This window comes from Homo sapiens, chromosome 5 (assembly GCF_000001405.40).
Source record: "Homo sapiens chromosome 5, GRCh38.p14 Primary Assembly".
Classification (NCBI taxonomy): domain Eukaryota; kingdom Metazoa; phylum Chordata; class Mammalia; order Primates; family Hominidae; genus Homo; species Homo sapiens.
The window spans coordinates 15,985,702-16,007,659 of NC_000005.10; positions in this window are offsets into that span (position 1 = coordinate 15,985,702).

A 21,958-nucleotide genomic window follows, 5' to 3' on the forward strand; every position below is an offset into this window, starting at 1 on the left:
CCTCAGCCTCCCGAGTAGCTGGGACTATAGGCGCCCGCCACCATGCCTGGCTAATTTTTTTGTGTTTTTAGTAGAGACAAGGTTTCACCGTGTTAGCCAGAATGGTTTCGATCTCCTGACCTCGTGATCCGCGCGCCTCAGCCTCCCAAGGCATGAGCCACCGCACCCGGCCTTATTTGTCATATTTTCTAATACTTTCCTTTATTACAAATAACATTGGGCTAAAATAATGTTCAGAAGTCAAGATTTGTTCATGTTTTGCCTGCTTTGGCCTTCCATTGACTCAATTGTTAATATTCTCCCCTTAGAAGGCTGCTTGAAGCAGATGAGAATGGGAATGACAGAAGACTTGGTGGGGTTGCAAGGGTGTCTTGTTGCCCATCAAGAGATCTTATCAATGCCTGTTCCTGAAATTAGCTCCAACTGCATATTGTCTCCTAAATATTTGGGCACTGAGGGATCGTAACTTCTTGAACAAAGCATCAAAGTGTGTATTCTACCTTATTGATTTTAGGAAGCCAATTGGCAACTTAAAAAATGCCAAAGGAAATATGGGGTTTAATTAATTTCTTCATTGGAAGTATTTCTTCTTTGGATATTATATTCATGTTTCTAACAGTTTTTTAAATAATATTCTTTGCTTATTTTGTTTCCTCTTTGCGGCTCATGCCACAGCATTTCTAGTTCAATTTTTTCTTCTATTTTTTCCTGACTTTCTCGAACAAGTTCTAACATCACGTGCCTCTTAAAAATGCACATACTGCAAAAAAGAAGAAAGGAAGGAAGGAAAGAAACTTTTTTATTATTTACCAATGTTTGCCTCAGCATCTCAGACACTCCTAGTATCGTGAATGATGATTGATCCTCATGTTTTGATTTGTGAGGTTTTTCCACAAAACACAAGGTTTTGTGGAAAAAGGAGAGTGATAAACTGCTCCTTAGGCCTCATTTAAAGGATCACTTTCCTAGCGATGTACTTATAATTGGTATGAGAGCTGAATGTCCTGGTGACCTCAGGTACCTTTTGGTAAATTATGCTTGTTTTAACTGCAATTTAGCCAGATGCCCTTAACCCGTCTTCCCCCCATCTTTACTGAGTTATAATTGAAAAATTAGATGTACAACTTAATGTTTTGATTTACATATACATTGTGAAATAATCTCCACAATCAAGCTAATGAGCAAATTCATCACCTCACATAGTTATCTTTTTATTTTCTTTTCAGTGGGAATCATGCTTAAGATCTATTCTCCTAGCAAATTTCAAGTATACAGTACAGTATTGTTAACTATATTCACATTGCTGTACTTGAGGTCTCCAGAATTTACTCTTCTTGCATAATTGAAGCTTTGTGCACCTTGAACACTGCCCTATTTTCCCCCTACTCCTCAGCCTGTTAATCATCATTCTACTCTCTGCTTCTGTGAGTTTGACTAGGTTAGATTCCACGTATAGATGAGATAATGCAGTATTTTTCTTTCTGCATCTGGCTATTTCACTTAGCATAATGTCCTTCAGGTTTATCCATGTTGTTGTAAATGGCAGGGTTTCCTTTTTTAAAGCTGAATAATATTCCATTTGTGTGTGTGTGTGTGTGTGTGTGTGTGTGTGTGTTATTTTCTTTATCCATTCATCCATCACTGGTCATTTTAATTGTTTCTAGATCTTGGTTATTGTGAATAACACTACACCAAACACATGGACATGCAGATATCTCTTCAACATATGGATTTTATTTCCTTTGGACATATACCCACAAGTGGGATTGCTGAATTATATGGTACTTGTAAAAATTTTTGAAAATATTTTTGATGACCCTCCATACTGTTTTCCATAATGGCTTTTTCAATTTACATTTCCATCAATAATGCACAAGTGTTCACTTTTTTTCACGTTCTCACCAATACTTGCTATCCTTTGTCATTTTGATAATAGTCATTTCAACAGGTGTGAGGTAATATTTGGCTGCGATTTTGATTTGCATTTCCCTAACGATTAGTGATGTTGAGCAACTTTTCATATACCTTTCGGCCATTTGCATGTCTTCTTTTGGGAAATCTCTATTAAGATCCACTGCCCATTTTTTAATCAAGATATTATTATTTGCTACTGACTTGTATAAAATTTTTTGTACATTTTGGATATTAACTTCTTATCAGATATATGGTTTGCAAATATTTTCTCCCATTCCATGGGATGCCTTTCACTCTGTTAATTGTTTCCTTTGCTTGTAGAAGCTTTTTAGTTTGATACAATCCAACTCAACTATTCTTTTTTTATTTTGTTACTTGTGCAGTTGATGTTATATCCAAAAGATCACTGCCATGAAAAACGTCAAGAAGATTTTTTCCTATTTTCTTCTAGTAGCTTTATGGTTTCAGGTCTGACATTTACATTTTTAATCCATTTTTAGTTGATGGTGTGAGGTAAGTGTCCAGTTTCATTCTTCTCCACTGCATATGGGTATCCAGTTTTTCCACCATCATTTATTGAAGAGATTGTCCTTTCCCCATTGTGTGTTCTTGGCACCCTTTTCAAAATTGATTGACTGTAGATGCATGGATTTATTTCTGGGCTCTGTATTCTGTTCCATTTGTCATCTACAGGTCTATTTTCATGCCATTACCATATTGTTTTGATTACTGTGGCTTTTTTTTGTGCAGGGGGGCAGGTGTTGGGTACGGAGTCTCACTCTGTCACCCAGGCTGGAGTCAATGGCGGGATCTTGGCTCACTGCAACCTCCATCTCCCAGGTTCAAGTGATTCTCCTGCCTCAGCCTCCTGAGTAGCTGGGATTACAGGCGCCCGCCACCATGCCTGGCTAATTTTTGTATTTTTAGTAGAGATGGGGTTTCACCATGTTGGCCAGGATGCTCTCAAACACCTGGTCTCAAGCAAGCTGCCTGCCTCAGCCTCCCAAAGACTGTGGCTTCTTAAACAGGAAGTGTAATGTCTCCAGCTTTGTTCTTCTTGCTCAAGATTGTTCTGGCTATTTGGAGTTGCATGTCATTCTATATGGATTTTAGGATTGCCTCTTCTATTTCTGTAAGAAATGCCATCAGGATTTTGGTAGGGACTACATTGAATTTTTAGATCACTTTGGATATTATGAACATTTTAACAATATTAATTCTTCTAATCCATGAACATGGGATGACATTGTATTTATCAGTATTTTCTTTAATTCCCTTTATCAGTGTTTTATAATTTTCACAGTACAAGTCTTCACCTATTTAGTTAAATTTATTCCTAAGTGTTTTATTCTTTCTGTTGTTATTGTGAATGAGATTGTTTTATTAACTTCCTTTTTGGAGTTTGTTATTTGCGCATAGAATCACATTGACTCTTGCATGTTAATTTTATATCCTGCAACTTACTGAATTTGCTTATTAGTTCCACATGTTTTGTTGTTGTCATTGTTGTTGAGTCTTTAACATTTTCTACAGATGCATTCATGGCACTCTCAAACGGACAATTTCACTTCTTCTCTTATTTGGATACCTTTTATTTAATTGTCTTGTGTAATGGCTCTAGCTAGGACTTCCACTACTATGTTGAATAAAAGTGACAAGAATGGGCATCTTCGACTTGTACCATATCTTAAAAGGAACGCTTTCAGTTTTTCCCCATTGATTATGAGGTTAGCTTTTCATAATGGCCTTTATTGTTCTGAGGTTTCTTCCATACCTATTTAGTTGAGAGTTTTAATCATGAAAGAATGTTGAATTTTGTCAAATCCTTTTCATACATCTATTAAGAAGATCCTATACTTGCTATCATTCTGTTAATGTGGTATATCACATTTACTGATTTGCATATGTTGAACCATTCTTGCATCATAATGATAAATCCTTATGATGTATGATTTTTTGAATGTGCTGTTGAATTCATTTTGCTAGTATCTTACTGCTGATATTTGCTAGTATTTTGCATCTATGTTCATCAGAGATATTGGCCTATAGTTTTTTTTTTTCTTTGTGGTATGTTTTTCTGGTTTTGGACTAATAAAATGAATATGGAAGTGTTTCCTCTTTCTTTTTTGGGAGGGAAAGTTTAAGAATTATTGGTATCAATTTTTTGAATGATTGTGAGAATTCATCTGTGATGCCATTTAGTCTTGGGCTTATCTTTATTGAGAAGTTTTTGATTACTGACTCAATCTCCTTACTTTTTATTGGCCTATTCCGGCTTCCTAATTTTTTATTATTCAATTTTGGTAGGATGTATGTTTCTAGGAATTTATCAGTTTCTTCTACGTTATACAATTTGTTGGCATATAATTGTTTATAATAGTGTTTTACGATCCTTTTTTTCTTAGACATCCTTTGCAACGTCCCCTCCTTCATTTCTGATTTTGAGTCTTCAATCTTTTATTCTTCATTATTCTAGCTAAGCATTTTGCATTTTTCAATTTGATCATTTCAAAAAACCACTTCAGCTTTGTTGATTATTTCTATTGTTTTTCTATTCTATATTTGATTTATTTCTGCTGTAATTTTTATTATTTTATTCCTTCTGGTAACTTTGTGCTTAGTTGTTCTTTTTCTACTTTCTAAGGTATAAAGTTAGATGTTTTATTTGCAGCCTTTTTTTTTAAATGTAGGCATTTATTGCTATAAAATTCTTCATTAGCAGTTTTGTGCATCCCATAAGTTTTGCTATGTCCTGTTTTCATTTGTCTTAAGACACTTTTTAAATGCCCTTTTGATTTCATTTTTGACCCAATGGTTGTTCAGGAATGTTTTGTTTTGCTTACACATATTTATGAATTCTGTTTTCTTTTTATCGATTTTTAGTTTCATTCCATCGAGGTCAAAACTTCACAAATTAGTTAAGACCTAACATGTGATCCATCCTAGAGAATGTTCTATGTGTGCTTGAGAAGAATATCTTATGCTGTTTGTGGAAAGTTCCGTATGTCTTTATTAGGTCCATTTGATAGTGTTGTTGAAGTCAGCTATTTCTTTTTTCATTTTCTGTCTGGATGTTCTTCTATCCATTATTATAAATGGCATATTAATGTCCCCTACTATTATTGTATCACTGTCAATTTCTCCTTTCAGATATATCAGTATTTGCTTTATATATTTTGATCTTCTGGCGCTAGGTGTGCATATATTCATAATTGTTAAATCTTTCTGTTAAATTGTCCATTTTATTATTATATAGTGACCTTCCTTGTCTCAACAGATGCTGTTTGACTTAAAGCCTAGTTTGTCTAATGTAAGTATAGCCATGTCTGCTTTCTTTTGGTTACCATTTGCATGAAATACCTTTTTCCATCCCTTTCCTTTCAGCCTAGGTATAGCTTTAAACATAAAGTGAATCACTTTTATTCAGTATGTCACTAGATCTTGTTTTTTTTTTTTTCCATTCAGCCACTCTATGTCTTTTGGTTAGAGATTTTAATCCATTTACATTTAAAGCAATAATTAACAGGTAGAGATTTACTACTGCCATTTTGTTAATTGTTAATTGTTTTCTGTCTGGTTTGCCATTGTTTTGGCCTTCTTTTCCTCTTTTGCTATCTTTCTTTTTAATTTGATAACTTTTGGAGTGCTTTGCTTTGATTCCTTTTTCTTTTTCCTTTGTGTATCTATTACAGATTTTGTTTTTTTATGGCTAGCTCAAGGCTTGCATAAAGTATCTTGTAGTTATAACCACTTATTTTAAGTTCATAACAACTTAACTTCATTTACGTACAAAAGCTGTATACTTTTGCAGCCCCACCCCAACACATACTTTGTGTTCTTGTAGTCAGAGTTTGCTACTTTTTACATTGTATTCTATTAATAAATTTTTATTTTCTAACTTCTACATTAGAGTTAAAAGTAGTTTATATACCTCCATTATGGTGTCATATTATTCTGTATTTGTTTACATATTTACCATTACCAGTGAGATTTATGCTACCATATACTTTCACATTGCTGTTTAGCATGTTTTCATTGCAATTTGAATAATTATCTTAACTATTTCTTGCAAGGCAGGTCTAGTGGTGATGAACTCCCTCAGTTTTTGTTTGTCTGATGAAGGCTTTATTTCACCTTCATTTTGAAAGGGCAATTTTGCTTGGTATAGTATTCTTTGTTGGCAGTTTTTTCTCTTTCAGTACTTTGAATATATCATGCCACTGTCTCCTGGCCTGCAAGGTTTCTGCTGAGCAATCCACTGATAGTGTTAGAAGGCTTCCCTTGTATGTGATGAGCTGTCTTTTTCCTGATGCTTTCAAAATTCTCTTCTCTCTTTGACTTTCAGAGTTTGATTACAATATGTCTTGGTGTAGTCTTCTCTGAATTGATCTGTTTCAGAGTTCTTTCAGCTTCATGAATCTAGATGTCAATTTTCCACATAAGATTTTAAAAGTTTTCAGCCACTTTTTCTTTAAATAAGCTTTCTGCCCCTTTCTCTCTCTGTTTCTCCTCTGGGACTTCCATCATGCACCATCACTTAACGGTGTCCTATAAATCCTATTGGTTTTCTTCACTCTTGTTTTTCCTCCACTGACTAGATACTTTCAAATGACCTGTCTTTGAGGTCACAGGTTCTTTATTCTGCATAATCAAATCTGTCATAGAAGTTCTCTATTGCATTTTCATTTTATCTACTGTATTTTTAACTCTAGAATTTTGTTTGCCTCCTTTACATAATTTCTATCTCTTCTAGTTTTGTTCACATATTGTTTTACTGATTTTATTGAGTTGTCTATTTGCGTCCTATGGAACTAGCATTTTATGAACACAAAAAATTTAATGTAGGCAGTTGCCTTTGGAATCCCAAAGGGTAGTTCTTGCAACATTGTTATACTGGTAAATATTTGACAACTATCTGTTTAAAAAGTCCTAACTGTAGTGTTTCCTATTTACAAAGTATAAATTCTCCTACCAGAGTCAATTTTATGATACTAACATTCCCCTTGTTCCCTAACTCGTTGGTTTTATGTGCAAACTGAATCAAGTAATATTTTCCCTCTCCTTAGAAAGATATCATATTGCTATCTATTTCTAAAAATGTTACCTTCACAGGACACCTTGGATTCTGTTCAATTAAAAATATAGTTCTTTGGAAATTAGTTACTATTCACAAAGTTATAAAATTCTGGCCCTTTAACCTTATTAAACTTCCTACATTAACAAATCCCAGCAGAGTGAAGAAGACTCATTCTTTCCTTACTGCAGGACTTCAGTTTTCTGGAGTTAGGGAACTAGAGGACTTGCCCATTGAGTGGTCCCTTACAGAGGCAGATTCCAAGCAGATCAAGTAGCTCCCATTTTCCAAAACATCTCACCAATCCCCACCAGGAAATACGCTTTCTGGATATTTTGCTTCCAACTGCATATCCTTGAAAGGGAAACAAAGTATCCTGTTATTATTAACTAGTACCTCACCTCTAGAGAATTTCATGACTCATCAATTTCACTGAGAACTTTAGACAACAGCGTCCTCTGGGAAGAGGAAATAGAAGAGTGAATCATTTGGGAGCAGTGGAAGGTGGGCTCAGGAATATGCCTGCAGCAAGGGACATGGATGAACACAGGTGTATGACATAGAAGCAGTATGAAGCTCCTCTGAGGAAGAAGAATTATAGAAAAAAAGGAGGATACAGAAAATCAGTGTCACCAATCTAAATGAGACCATCAGCAGGTGATCAGCAGGGGCTTGGAAAGATATTAAACTTCCTCCAAGGTCACACAAGTGACAGATTTTGGGGACACAAGCTCAAATCTAGGGCTTTCCTCTCTCTGTCTCTCCTCCCTCTCTACTAGGCTTGTCGAAACAATATTTTCCCCTGAGATTGTAAGCTTATGAATCATGCGAAAGGATTAAATCTTACTCATCTTATGTTTCCTGACAGCACATGGCATACAGGAGGTGTTAAGAGTTGTTTGTGGTGTAGAATTTACTTTTTCTTAATCTTGAGCATCCTACTCCTACTTGCAGCTGTGCATAACCTGTCCTGCCAGTTTTCATAAACACACACACACACATATACACACTCCTCATTAGTTCCAGCAGAATGCCCAGTTCTTGATTCATGGTACACAATGAACCATCCCAATTTGTATTTCTATTTTTTACTGACCCTTTCTGCATTTTTGATTGCTGGTATAGACTATTTTGATGTGAAAATCCTACAATTGCATCAATAGGCCAAAATTAGCCTATGTACATACACTGAGGAACTTTAAAAATGCTACGATGCTATTGCTCAAGCCCAGAGATTTATTTTTAATTGGTTTGAGATGAGATTCAGGCATCAAGATACTTATATTGTCCCCAGGTGACATTAATGTGTAGCTAGGATTGAGAATTACTGATGTAAAATTTACTGCTTTTCCATAGGGAAAACTCCACCCCAGACTAATGAAATCAGAATCTCTAGGGATGAGGCCCAGGCAGCAGTATTTTTTAAGCTCCCCCTGGTGACTACAATGTAGAGCCTGGACTGAGAATCTCTGTATCACAACAGTGGTTCCAGGCCAGTTGCACATCCAAGAAACACCCAAGGAGATTTGTAAAAGTACAAATTCAGGTAGCACCCTGGACTTAAATCAGGTTCTTTTAGTTTGCAAAACTCCCACTTCCATCTGCTACTGGCCTTAGAGGATAGCATTAATGGGAGCAGTCTACTAGGTTTGCTTTCTTGAAATCTTCACACCCCATTAAAGGTAGAGCATTCTGTCACATGGAGCTCCTGCTGCTGTGAAGAGAGAAAAAAAGATCCCCAGCAAGATTCTGAGGAGACTTCGGAGTGTGGAAAAGCAGATGGTGTCCTGCACATGGGCTGATGTGCTCCCAGGTGGGCCTATGCGTAGTGCTCGTGTCTGGGAGTGACATCATTGCCTAAGATGGGATAAAGTTCGCATCTGCACATTGCAGACCCTCAAAAAGTACTTGTTGGATTAATTAATCTTAAAAAAATTTTCCTGTGGACCTGAATCTCTGGCTTCTCTTGTGTGTATGTGAGCAACACAACTCCTTATGGAATTTATTAAAAAGAGTTTACTGGTCATAAACGGGCTAGACCGGCAGCTTCCAGTTACAATGAATCTCAGTTTTGACATTGAGTACTCTGCTGTTAGTGACAAATTAAGAGAATGTCAGCCTGAGTGTTCACTCTATCCGGTACCTGTCAACTCATTCACTTAACAGGTAGAAGGGAAAAGCATTAGGATTACGATGTGCATCAGCTTGGAAGAAGTATCACTGTTGCTTCTTAGTAGCATAACCTGCCCCCAAGCCAGTTAGCAAGAACTTTGATTTGTCTAATGCAGAACCAGTCCCATGTAATCTCAACAAAATCTCAAAGACATTTTTAAGCACTGCTTTGGGTGCTCAAAGAACATTCCTTATCTCTTTTGGAAATGGCACATTTTATTGGAAGTAGTTAGTTACCCCTTATTTCAGGTCTATTCAAAACTTTCACCTTCACCACCTAACTTAATGTTGACTCCTTGGCCTAAAAATACGGGGAAGTTCTGTTAAATGAGCTAACTGCTAGAAATACTATGGCTGCAAATGGAAAGAAATGAGGTGTGTACCATAGACCACATAAAACAATGAAAACAATTTAAAGACAAAACTTACTGAGTAAGAGAAACAGTCTTGCAATATCGAAAGCATATGAGTGACCTGCTGCTTTGGGCAATGCTCTGTAAACTTTGGCATCCACCCAGCACCTCCTGGGAGCCCCTCTGGATGAGAGCAGGCCTAGATAGCCAGCACCTTCCATCTTCAAAATCAGGTTTTCTGACCTCTCATAGAGGGCAAGGCAGCCATTACAAACCAGAACTCCCCAGCTCTGTCAATTTCCTGCTGATTCAGAAGGGGGCAAAACCTAGGGGTAATTTACAATTGATTAAGTGGCTGATGAACTGTTATTCCCTTTGTTTAAACTTGCCTTTACCCTTTCTAAAAAGCACTTTGTTGAACAAGAGCTCCATCTATGGGACAAATCAATTATGTGGACTTCTACCCTTAACACATCAAAGATTGTGGTTCTCAACTGAGGGTGGTTTTGCCGCGCAGGGGGCATTTGGCAATGTCTGGGAACACTTTTGGTTGTCATAACTAGATTGGGGATGCAACTACAATCTGGTAGGTAGAGGGCAGTGATGCTGCTCAACATCCTACAATGCACAGGAGAGGCCCTACAGTAAAGAGTTTTCCAATGGTAAGGACAAGATTGAGAAACTCTGCTTGTGAACAAGACAATTGGTAAGATTTATGCTTACAGATGTACTCTGATTCTGCCACCCAAGGTGAAAAATAATTTTTATTTAAATCATTCCATATTCCCTCACCACCACTTTAAGCTTCTCATCTCCCTAACTTCATCTATTGACCATGGATTTGGTGTTAATGATTTCATGTATTTATCTTTATTTTGGCTACTTGGGAAGGAGAATTAAAGAAAAAGGAGAATATTTAAGGCAAAGAGATGAATTTATACTGGTAGAGTTTTAGGTACCAGTCCCTAAATGGGACCAATACTTTGCCTTCCAATAGGTTGGTCCTACCCTTGTGGCTGGTTATATAAATAAAACTGTATCACCTGGTGTTCAAGCCATTGTAGTTGATGTTATTGTTGTAAAGGTCTTTACAATATGTACACAACACTGAGAAAAAACACAACTCCCTTAGACACTTCACTTAACACATACTGTTCGGCAAGTCTCCATTCAGTGCAATGGGCAGCAGTTTACTAAACAGCATTGTGGAAGACTAAACACTGAAAGTCAGCTTCTAAGAGGTTTTATTTCTGTCCACTGAGAGGCAGGTATACCCCCTGGAGTTTATAACAGAGCAGATTTTTATTAAAAATATAGCCCTGAGCCAGGATTTTTTGTCAGCTGAGGTCCCCTAATTGTGAACTATGAGTAAAACTTTGAAGACTCAAGATCCAAGATTATCACAACCTCAGGTGCTCTCTTGCAGGGACAAAGTCCAGTCCCCTGAAGAGGAATCTTTGTTTCAGCTGCATAGTCCATTGCAACCCCACTGCAGCCACACCAAGAACAGCAAAAGATCAGCGCATGTGCCTGGAAATATAACCATCTTTCTTTATATGGGTTTGTGTCACAGCTATCATTTCTAATGACTATGCATTAATTCATCTCATTAAACAATGAGCACCTACAATGTGATGTGTGTAGCACCAAGCCATGAGAATGCAGTGCTGAATGAGAGTCCCACTACATGAGATATCCAAGCAAGAGTATTTAATAAAAACATTCCCTGACTCCAGCCCTTTTTCCCATTGTAGTATGGCATAAGGCCTTGAACGTTGCAGTTAAGGAAAGCAGACATCCTTGAACATTATCTCCTCGTGTATTTTGTCATTAGCAACAGAAGACCAATTATTAAACCCTGAAGGTTGTTAAGATCTTGTCCAAGTTTTCTACACAATATCTAAATTTCTACACTATGTAGTAAGCAAAGTCCATAGTGAGAAGTATTTCAGCATCCTGAAAATTTGTATTACATGAGTAATGATTTAATAACTTTCTTCTTCAAGTGCCATCAGCAAGAAATTGTACAGTTTTATGGGAACCCTGGATTTATTGGTACTGAATATTGCCACAGCAAGCCACTTTGCCTCATAATTTGTAGGAAAGAAACAAGATTAAAAATAAATTTGAAGGGAAAAATGAGTTGAGAAAAATTGGCAACAGGGCTTGTGCAGTATTAATTGTAATTGAGAAGGGAATGTCTTTGCTGAATCCAAGGCATATTTATGCATCGTAAGCACTGATGAAACTAGTGCCCCTCAAACTACCAGATGTATGAGCATTGCTTTTAGTCACATGGATCTGATGAGTAGCAAATGTTAAAATGTTAGTTTCAGTAATTGTAAGTGTAAAAATATAAGACAGAAAAAATAATGCAACACCTACAAACACCATAAACTGTGAAAGGTATTGGGTGGCTCTCTTCCCAGGTAGGACTTGGTGAAATGGTTGGAGGAGTGTGACACGATAGAGGAAAATTAATGTAAATGAGATAGATATATAAATAAAATGAAATATTGAAACATTTTATCATATTAGTTCCAAGGACAGGAACTTTCCAGCATATTGAAACACAAATTCTACTACCTAAACATAGTAAACGGAGATGAACTAAGACAACCGGCTAGGGCTGTGTCTATTCCTAGGAGATCAGTTCACAACAATTTAATCAAAGATGATGGAGTTTGAAAAGGATAAAAAGTCTGAATGATATACCCATAGTTGTTTGTAACAATATTATTTGCTCAAAAAAGCTGTGGAATTTTGGTTTGCTGGAAAAAAATAGTTCACTTCTTTTTTCTGTACAGAGAAAAATGTTTTAATAAATATTAATACTGTGTCTAGATCATGCTTATATTACCAAGAATATGTAATTGCTTTTGTTACCAATAAATCAAGGTTAACAGTTATGCAGTTTGGGGCAATTGCTTAGATTTCTCATGTTCCATTCGAAAAAGTGAAGTTTATTAAATCATAACCCATTTGTTATGAGTTTATAAACCACTACAGTTTCAGTGCCATGCCTATATACTTCAAATATAGAAGGCCAGAATTTCTGCTCAGTCTCTTTCAAGAAAGACATAGTTCTAAGTTTTAAGAAATCATGAGTTTTATGATAGTTTCTGCAGAATTTTGGAGTTAGAAAAAGTCAAAGATAATGTGACCAGCCCAGACAAGGTCAAGGCAGCCATTACCAGATGGGAGTCCTCCGTGCTGTTCATTTCCTGCTTGTCCGACACCCATGCCTTTTCTTAATTGTCTCTGTTTTAATGTGCCCACTAATTGTTTATCTCATTGAAGATTTGGGGATTTCCTTAGGCCGTTCATTCTATTTGGAGGGCAGATTTAAATACTAAAACCAATGTTTTTTACATTGAGCCCAACTGTTTACCTTCTAGTAATGATTATTATCAACCTTGGTCCTAGACCATCCCTTAGGACCATATTAAAACGTGTGTGTAAGTTTGTGTGTGTGCGAATACTGACTTCCTCACAGACAACACTTGCAACATCTGTAGGCAGCTAGCCAGCAGTCATTGCCCACAGTTCCATTCCTCAGTTTGAGTCTTTCTCAATGGGCTAAATGACTCCATTTCTTCATATAACTGAGAATCAAATCTCCTCTGTAGCTCAGGATTAACTTTGGCAATGAGTTGCTTCCTCTCTTCTCTACATACTCTTTGTGCAAAGTGTGACATCCAGAATGACAGCAATATCCCAGTAGTCTTCTGATCTAGTGAGCAGTGATGTTACCTCCTCTTTTATTCATATTTTTAATTCACTAAAATTTTACTGGGCAGCTACTATGTGCTGTACTCCACACAGGGTGTTGGAGGTACAAAATGAACCACAAGACACAGCTCCTGCTGTGGTGAACAGCTTTGAATAAATGTACCCTGGTGGAAATAAATGACAACTCATGATAAGTGAAGTGAAGACAAAAATGTAGGTGTTTTAAATGAAAATAACAAGGAGAGACATGATTTAGATTTTGAGGTCACAGGAGGTTTCTCTAAGGAAGGAACATTGAATCCAAGACCAGAAAAATGAATGAGATTATTGTTGTAACTATGTTGATTAATATATCCTAAGACCAAATAAATTTTGAAGACAGCTATATCAATATTTGGATTCACTTTGATCTCATTCTCATATTATTCTTGAAATAAATACATACAAACATACACAGATATATGTTTTAAACATACATGCTAAGCTTCATGTAAGACTCCCTCTACTGGGATAGATGTATAACATAATAAAATGCCCACTCTTGACTTTATTAGTTCAGAAATTACCTTCAGACAAGTAGGGCAGTGGAAGACTGCATTACAAATCATTCCCTTAATGAGTCTTTCCAGGAATCTTGCCCAGGATGGAAGTCAATTGCACTGGCTGCTAGTTTTCAAAATCTACCTTATTCATCTTGTTGCAAATGGCATTAACATTTTCTCTCCTCTTTAATCTTCTCATATTCATTCATTGATTCATTTATTCTGCCTTTTGTCCAGGACCTCAAAATACTTCTACAAGAGTTAGAATGTTTCCACTTTCACGCAGAAGACCTTCAAAATAGACCCTCTCTGGGTAAACCAGAGGATTCCTTTCATTTGGAATGTCACTGCAGGGCAGTGACAGAGTTGGTCGTGTGTCAACCCTCACTAGACACCCTCTTTCTACCACCCTTGTGCTCTGTGTCCTACCTAAGGAGCACAATCCCTTTTTTTGGCAAGTCCTTGAAGATCATGGAAAATGATTTACCATTTTCATTTGCAGCTTTTTTCTGTATAATAGTTCAAAACATTGGTTTTGTCTTAACTTTCATCTTTGCCCCTTGGAACAGGTCATATGACCTCTCCGAGACTGACTTTTATCATATGTAAAATGAGGATATTAAAGAATGCCAATTCCCAAAGCATTTCTGTAAAGATTACATGAGATACTTCACATAAAACACTTAACACAATTCCTGGAACTTTGTAAGAATCTAACAAATCATAGTTATTATTACTTCTGGTCCCTGGAAGGCAGCAGTCCAAGCCAAGAAAGTAGAACAGCCAAAGTCTCATTTTCATTTCTTCATACATCCTGTATTTCAGTCCTCATCTACCACTGGGGTTTCCCTATGTTTAAAATGCAAATAAAACAACAAAAAATTGCCATTGAGGGTCTTGATTTAACTGCCATCTAGTAATATAACGCAATTATACTAGGTGTGCTCAAACAATGAATCAATGATCATTTTCTTCCGAAGAGAATTTAGAAAGCCACTGTTACGGTCTTTAGGGTTTTAGTCTCATTGGCACAATTCTTAAAGCTTTTTTCTGTCCTGGGAATACAACTTTGCTTTCTCTCAATTTTCCTCTGTGTTGGGGCTAAATGCTCAGAATTTGAGTTTTAAGAGCTCTCCAACTCCCTTGAGCCCTTTCCCCATTCAATTCTCATAGCATGCAATTTTATCCATTTCTTTAAATATAGATCCCACATCTGCCAGCCTTATCTTCCCAAGCAATCAAAAATTTTCCAAAGTGATATAGACACTTTATTCAAAGATTCCTCTAACTTCCTTCTCTGCAATTAAACTCCCCATGTTCATCAGAATTGAGGCCATAGGAGCAATTCTATTTATTTCTTCTCTCTTGGGGAAAATCAACTTGGAAGAAAGGCTGATCAAGAGTGTATCAGACATCTTGCCCCTTTTTTTTTTTTTTTTTTTTTGGCTTAAACTACAGAAATTTATTTTCTTACAGTTCTGGAGGCTGAAAAATCCAAAGTCAAGGTTCTAGCAGGGTGTGGTTCCTGGTACTTTCTCTTCCAGGCTTGCAGACATTCTTGTTATGTTCTCACATGCTGGAGAGAAAAAGCATGCTCTCCAGTGTCTCTTTAAAAAAAAAATCTTTTGGCTGGGCGCAGTGGCTCATGCCTGTAATCCCAGCGCTTTGGGAGGGCAAGGCAGGCAGATCATGAGGTAAAGAGATCAAGAACATCCTGGCCAACATAGTGAAACCCCGTTTCTACTAAAATTACAAAAATTTTATTGTTGTAGTGGTGCGCGCCTGTAGTCCCAGCTACTCGGGAGGCTGAGGCAGGAGAATCACTTGAACCCAGGAGGTGGAGGTTGCAGTCAACCAAGGTCGCACCACTGCGTTCTGGCCTGGTGACAGAGTGAGACTCCATCTCAAAAAAAAAAAAAAAAAAACCTTTTACTGTATTTTATGTATTTAACGTGTACAATATGATGTTTTGATATGCATATACATAGTGAAATGGTCACTATTGTCAAGCAAATCAACATGTCTGTCATTTCACACAGTTACCCTGTGTTATTTTGTGGCAAGAGCAGCTAAAATCTACTCTTTTGGCAAAAATAACAAATACAACACAATATTATTAACTAGAGTTTTCATGTGGTAGATTAAATCTCTAGACTTGTTCACCCTACATATCTGCAACTTTGTATGCTTTGACCTACATTTTCCCATTTCTTCTCCAGCCCTTCCACTCCTGGTAATAACCATTTTATTCTTGATTTCTACGTTTTCATTTTTTAAGTTTTATTGGTATATAATAATTGTGCATACTTATGGATCAAATGTGAAATTTTGATACAAACATATCATGTGTAATGATAAAATCAGGGTAGTTACCTCCCACTTATCATTTCTTTGTGTTGGGAGCATTTCAAATCTCTTTCAGCTATTTTGAAATGTACAATAAATTGTTGCTAATTATAGTCACTCTACTGCACTATTGAACACAAAAACCTACTTCTTCTATCTAACTGTGTGTTTGTGCTCATTAACCTATCCCTCTTCATTCCCCTCCTCCCATCCTTCCATGGTAACTATCATCCTACTCTTTACTTCCATGAGATCAACTTTTTTAGCTCCCACATATAAATAAGAACATGCAATATTTTTCTTTCTGTGCCAGGCTTATTTTACTTCACATAATGTCTCTCAGTTTCATTTATGTTGCTGCAGATGACAGGATTTCATTCTATTTTATGGCTGAATAGTATTTCATTGTGTATATATACCACATTTGCTTCATCTATTCATTCATTGATGGACAGTTAGGTTGAATCCAAATCTTGGCTATTGTGAATGGTGCTGCAATAAACATGAGAGTGCAGCTGTCTTTCTGACAGTGATTTCATTTCCTTTGGTTTATCCAAAAGAGGAATTGCTGGCTCATGTGATGGTTCTATTTTTAATTTCTTTAGGAACCTCCATACAGTTTTCCACAGTGGTTGTACCAATCTACATTCCCACCAACAGTGTTCAAGGGCTCCTTTTTCTCCATACCCTTGCCAATGCTTGCTATTTTTTTAATAACAGCCATCCTCACAGGTGTGAGGTGATAACTTATTGTGGTTTTAATTTGCATTTACTTAATGATTAGTGACATTGAGCATTTTTTTCAGATACTTGCTAGCAAATTTTACATCTTCTTTGAAGAAATCAGGCACTCTGCTTTAAGCCCAGTAATATTCCAGCAGGCAGTCTTAGGTTGAATTCCCTCAAAGAATTCTCCTCTAATCCTTACTTAGCTACCCGTGCCTGCAAAATACCTTCTATTTCTTTCACCTGGTAAAGCTATGTCTAGTATGCTAAAACACTAATAGTTTTATTATTCTCTCCCTTTATCTACTCCCATGTTTTTTTCTGATATGCTTCCATTTTATAGATTCCAAGCAAGCATATTAGATGTGATTCTTTTAGCAGAAGATGAAAAAAACCCAATTTGAACTAGGTTAGAGACAAAAAGGCCTAATTGACTTTTGTAAGCAAACTATAGGAAGTACAAGGATGTATAAAATCATGCTATCAGAACTCTCTTTGGTTTTCATTTCTTCCTTTATCAATAGCACTGGGACTCTGTAATGAATTCTGTGACATGCCACCTTTAGGAAAAAAATACTTCCAGATGCCCGACTGTCAGCCATCTTTAGGAATTTCTTTGACTAAAGACAGTCACCTAGCCCAAGTCTATGCCCACCTTCCAGTACAACCCACATCCAATCACTGGCCAGTGCAATGGTATAAAGATTAATTCTCTTAGCCTTCCTCATTCTGAGCCCCCGTGTAGTCAGCCAAGGCCATCGCTGAGAAGACATTTCAGCCCAACGTTGCCTGCTTCTCAGTCTTGCTTTCATCCCTTTCTTCCACAATTATTAATTGCAAAAGGATTCCAAAAAAACAAAACAAAACAAACAAAACAAACAAACAAACAAACAAACAAACTTGCAGCTAGTCTTTGTCTCAAAATCTACTTCCCAGGGTCCTCAACCTTCAATAGCTTCCATCTTCCCATCTTTGACAGCTGTGAAGAAAGGTGCATCTATTTGGCAGCTCTATTTCAACAAATCTTGAAAAAAGACTCTCCTTCGACTCGAGCACGGTCCAAGTTTGCACCCTGAGGGCCCTCTGTATCAGGGAGGCCATATTGGAAAGCACAACTGTGGGCCAATCACTGTGGCCTGGGGTCTGAGAAATTATGATTGGCTAACCCAGAGGTAGGTGTCCGCCTTTATCCCAATATCTTTAGGCAGGAAGAGCAAACTGTACCTCCCATTTGCATTAGAGTTGGGGTTGGGAGAAATGGTTCCCTATAATAAGTGAGAAGAATGGCACAGAAATGGCCAAAATGGCCCTGGGAGGACCCATGGGATCCTAACACTGTTCTGCCTTCCTTTCTATACCCCAGTTTCTGTTTAATAGGTGCCTCTTCTATAACCACATTTCAATCTTGAGTCCTATTCTACCCAGAGTGTAGGTGACCATAGCTCTCTATTCTCAAGCTCATGCTGCTTGTTACCCTTAGGCATACATTCCCTCCTATGCAGGTGCATATTTATTAGTTATTCCTCAAAAGGTATGGGAATTTCATTTTCATGATATGGCACTAGTAAAATAATATATTTTTCCTTTCTTTTTGAAGATGTCTGAGGTCTCACTGTAGACTTAGTACACAGACCAACCTTGGGACAGGCCCATGAATGTTTATTTGTAAATATGTGCCCCTTGGTGGTGACGGGCAACCTGAATTAAGAATGACTAGCTTACTGCTTACTGGTCCCATGTGTCTAATTATTATTGTAAATTTTCACCTGCCCCTCAGAGTTTAGCTAGACTATGTACCAAAACCTTTCCCAATAAATATGTCCAGGACCTAGGCACACAATCTCTTGACTATCACTAGAGAAAAGACCAGAAAAATAGGCTTAAGAGACTCTTCGATATTGAAAGTGCACTGTTCACACAAGAATGTAAACTGGAACTGAGGAGAGTTTTAGAACTAAGCCGGCCATCACATTCTCTGAACATTCAGTCCTCAATGTACTGACTGCTCTTTCCTAAATTCAAAGAGATCTCCAAAGCTTACAGAGTTTAAGATTGACCCTAAACCCAAATTCAAGAGGAATAAAATTGCATCTAATCTTCTTGCATCGTTTCACTCAATGGATACATTCCTTCCACCAACTGATCCTTACTCTCTCTGCCCATTTGTCAAAGTCCGCACTTCTGAATCCCATGCAGTGTACATTATTAATAGCTGCTAAATTATTTAAAGAGTAAATTTACTTTAACAGATCTTGAAAGCATAATAAGGGGGATGTATCTCTTATCTTATTTGAAAGGAAATTTGGTCATTTCCTCCTAAAATTATGTAAAATGAGACCAGCCCTGAGGAAAGCAAGAGAAAGGAAAAGAAAATGCCACCACAAATTATAGAACTTCCCAACTGCCTCTGATAAGTCAACTTTTTCAACAATAAAAATAAAAATATTAAACACCTTACATTTACAGAGTCCTTATTATGTGTCAAGGATGGTATAAAGCACTTCCCATGTATTATTGCATTGTTCCCTTAAAACAGCTCTCTGTGGTGGGTAGATCTTTTACTTAGCCTCATTTTGCATATGAGAAATTAACTAAGTGCCTAAGCCCCTCCCTCCCAACCTCAGTTAGTTAATAGCAGGAACAGGAATTAAACTTGACTCCAAACAGGAGCTCCTAATCATCACAAGTTGGGCTTTCTTTTGCCTTCCCAGGGCACATGGTTTGTTTGCCAGCTTTTCTAAGGGATTGCATATTCAAAGGGCCTTTTTTCTGTGTTTGGAAGGCTTTCAGCTCCATTAATTTAATAACTTGTTCATTAGAGGGCTGAGAGTTACAGTCCAGGCTGTGTGATGCAGGTAAGGAGGGCAAGTTTCCTTGAACAGGTTCACAATGTGGTTCATGTTTATGTTATGCTCATTGGACCATGACAGTTAAACTGAAATAGAGAGTAAGTCCTTGTCAGATTCTGTTTCCTTCTCTTTTATGTTTACTGATTTTATCCTTGAACTACTACAAATACTTAGACCAGTCATTTTAACCTTTTTGGGGTTACTGATCCCTTGGAGACTAGTGAAACCTTTGAAATCTTTTTCTAGAAAAATCTTTATATCCACATGATCAAAAAGCTATTAATATATGAATGTTGGAAGATTTACAGAAGAAGCCGGTCTGTGAAGTTTAAGAATCTGAGGAACCCATATTAAATACTTCTACTTTGGTCAAATAAATTCAGATTCCTCCCTTGTATTCAGCAAACACCAGAAATGAAAGACCCAGAAACCAAAGAAACATCTTCTCCTGGCTCCATCTCCTTGACTTCTCAGGATGAATCCTGGGAAGCCCCAGCCACATCACCAAAGCCACCACACTCAGGCATGCAATTGGAGCTCTGTGCAAATGTGGCTCATCAGGGAGGTGAGTGGGAACTGGAGTCCAGCTCATGTCCTGCCTGCCAGCCCACTGCTAAGTTGGGCTACATTCACCAAGAGTGAGTGTGTTTTCTAATTTGCAGAAAGGAGTCTGTGTATGGATCAGTCAGTGTCCTCCATGACATCTACCCCTGGACTATGTGACAGCCAGAAATGACCTATGGATAAAAGTCCCCCATTCCCCAAATCAAAAAGCCCCAGCACAGCTTACTCCCAGATGGCTCCCTGCAGGTTTAAGGCATGGCACTGGAATCTCAGCTTAGTCCAGATAGCCAGTTTCCTTGTGTCCAGTCTCCATTCTGCATGTGAGCAGCATCGAGATGGTCATACAGTTTTTTGTTGTTGTTGTTGGGAATCCAATTTCATAGACACGACTTGCCAATTGTTATTCATCACAATGCGTGTGAGATTTAAACAATAAATATTTCCTCTTTGCTTGCCCACCTGCTTATCCACCACAGCTTATCTATGCAATGTTTTTGAAATGTGAACCATATTCCTTTCTAATAAGAGCCAGACTAGTTTTCATTTTCCAGTAGTGGAAACTTCACAGTGAGGATTTTCTGCCTGGTTGGTCTAGTCTGATTATTATTATTATTATTATTATTTTTTTTGAGAGAGAGTCTACCTCTGTCACCCTGGCTGGAGTGCAGTGGCATGGTCTCAGCTCAGTGCAACCTCTGCCTCCCGGGTTCAAGTAATTTTTGTGCCTTAGCCTCCCCAGTACCTGGGATTACAGGCGTGTGCCACCATGCCCAGCTAATTTTTGTATTTTTAGTAGAGATGGTCTTCTCCATGTTTCCCAGGCTGACCTCAAACTCCTGGACTCAAGAGATCCACCTACCTTAGGCTCCCAAAATTCTGAGAATATAGGCATGAACCACTGTGCCCTGCCTTATAACCCTTCTTAATTGACCTTGTCAGCTATGTGGGAACAAAGGATATGCACCTGAGTCTTTTATTCATGCCCCAAATATTTCTGAAATACCTACTATGTGCCAAGCACTGGAAAACCCAATAGAAGATAGAGGTAAGAATAGGTGATGATAATCCATCTTGGAAATGCTACCATCTGGGGTCTATGCCATTAGATTAAAGCTTGCTAGTTAGATCTTCCTCAAGAAGACATAAGGCCTTGACCACATATCTGTGAGGGCCATAACTTCTCTGGTTTGATTTTTGTACTAATAGCTTCATATCAATATGAAGAATATTCTTGGGTGGCCAAGAGAAATCTGCCTAAAGGCACAAGATTAATCCACATGGCCTTTAAGGTCTCTTTTAAACATAATGTTGTAAGGCATTGACAGACAAATCAATCCTCTGAAGTTTCATCATATGCTTGGGTGAGGAGGAAGCTGAAGGAGTCTGAAGGAGTCTTATTTTTATTGAGCCCACTTGTTTGAGCTACAGAAGAACTAGGGTGTGGGATTTGTTCCAAGCCTCCCAATTCAGGACCTCCTATCCTTGACTGAAGAAGACACTGTACACCAAGCTTCAGGGGAAATGGGACAGCCAGAGTACAGTACAGCCAAACCACCTTATTCTAAACCCACATGTTATTTCATCTTTGCTCTCTCTGTATCTCTGCAAGCTTCCCTTTGCCTCCTGGTTTTGTTCGCTTACTTAACCCTTCAGATTCTGACCTCTCATGTTCTTGTGGCCTTGCAC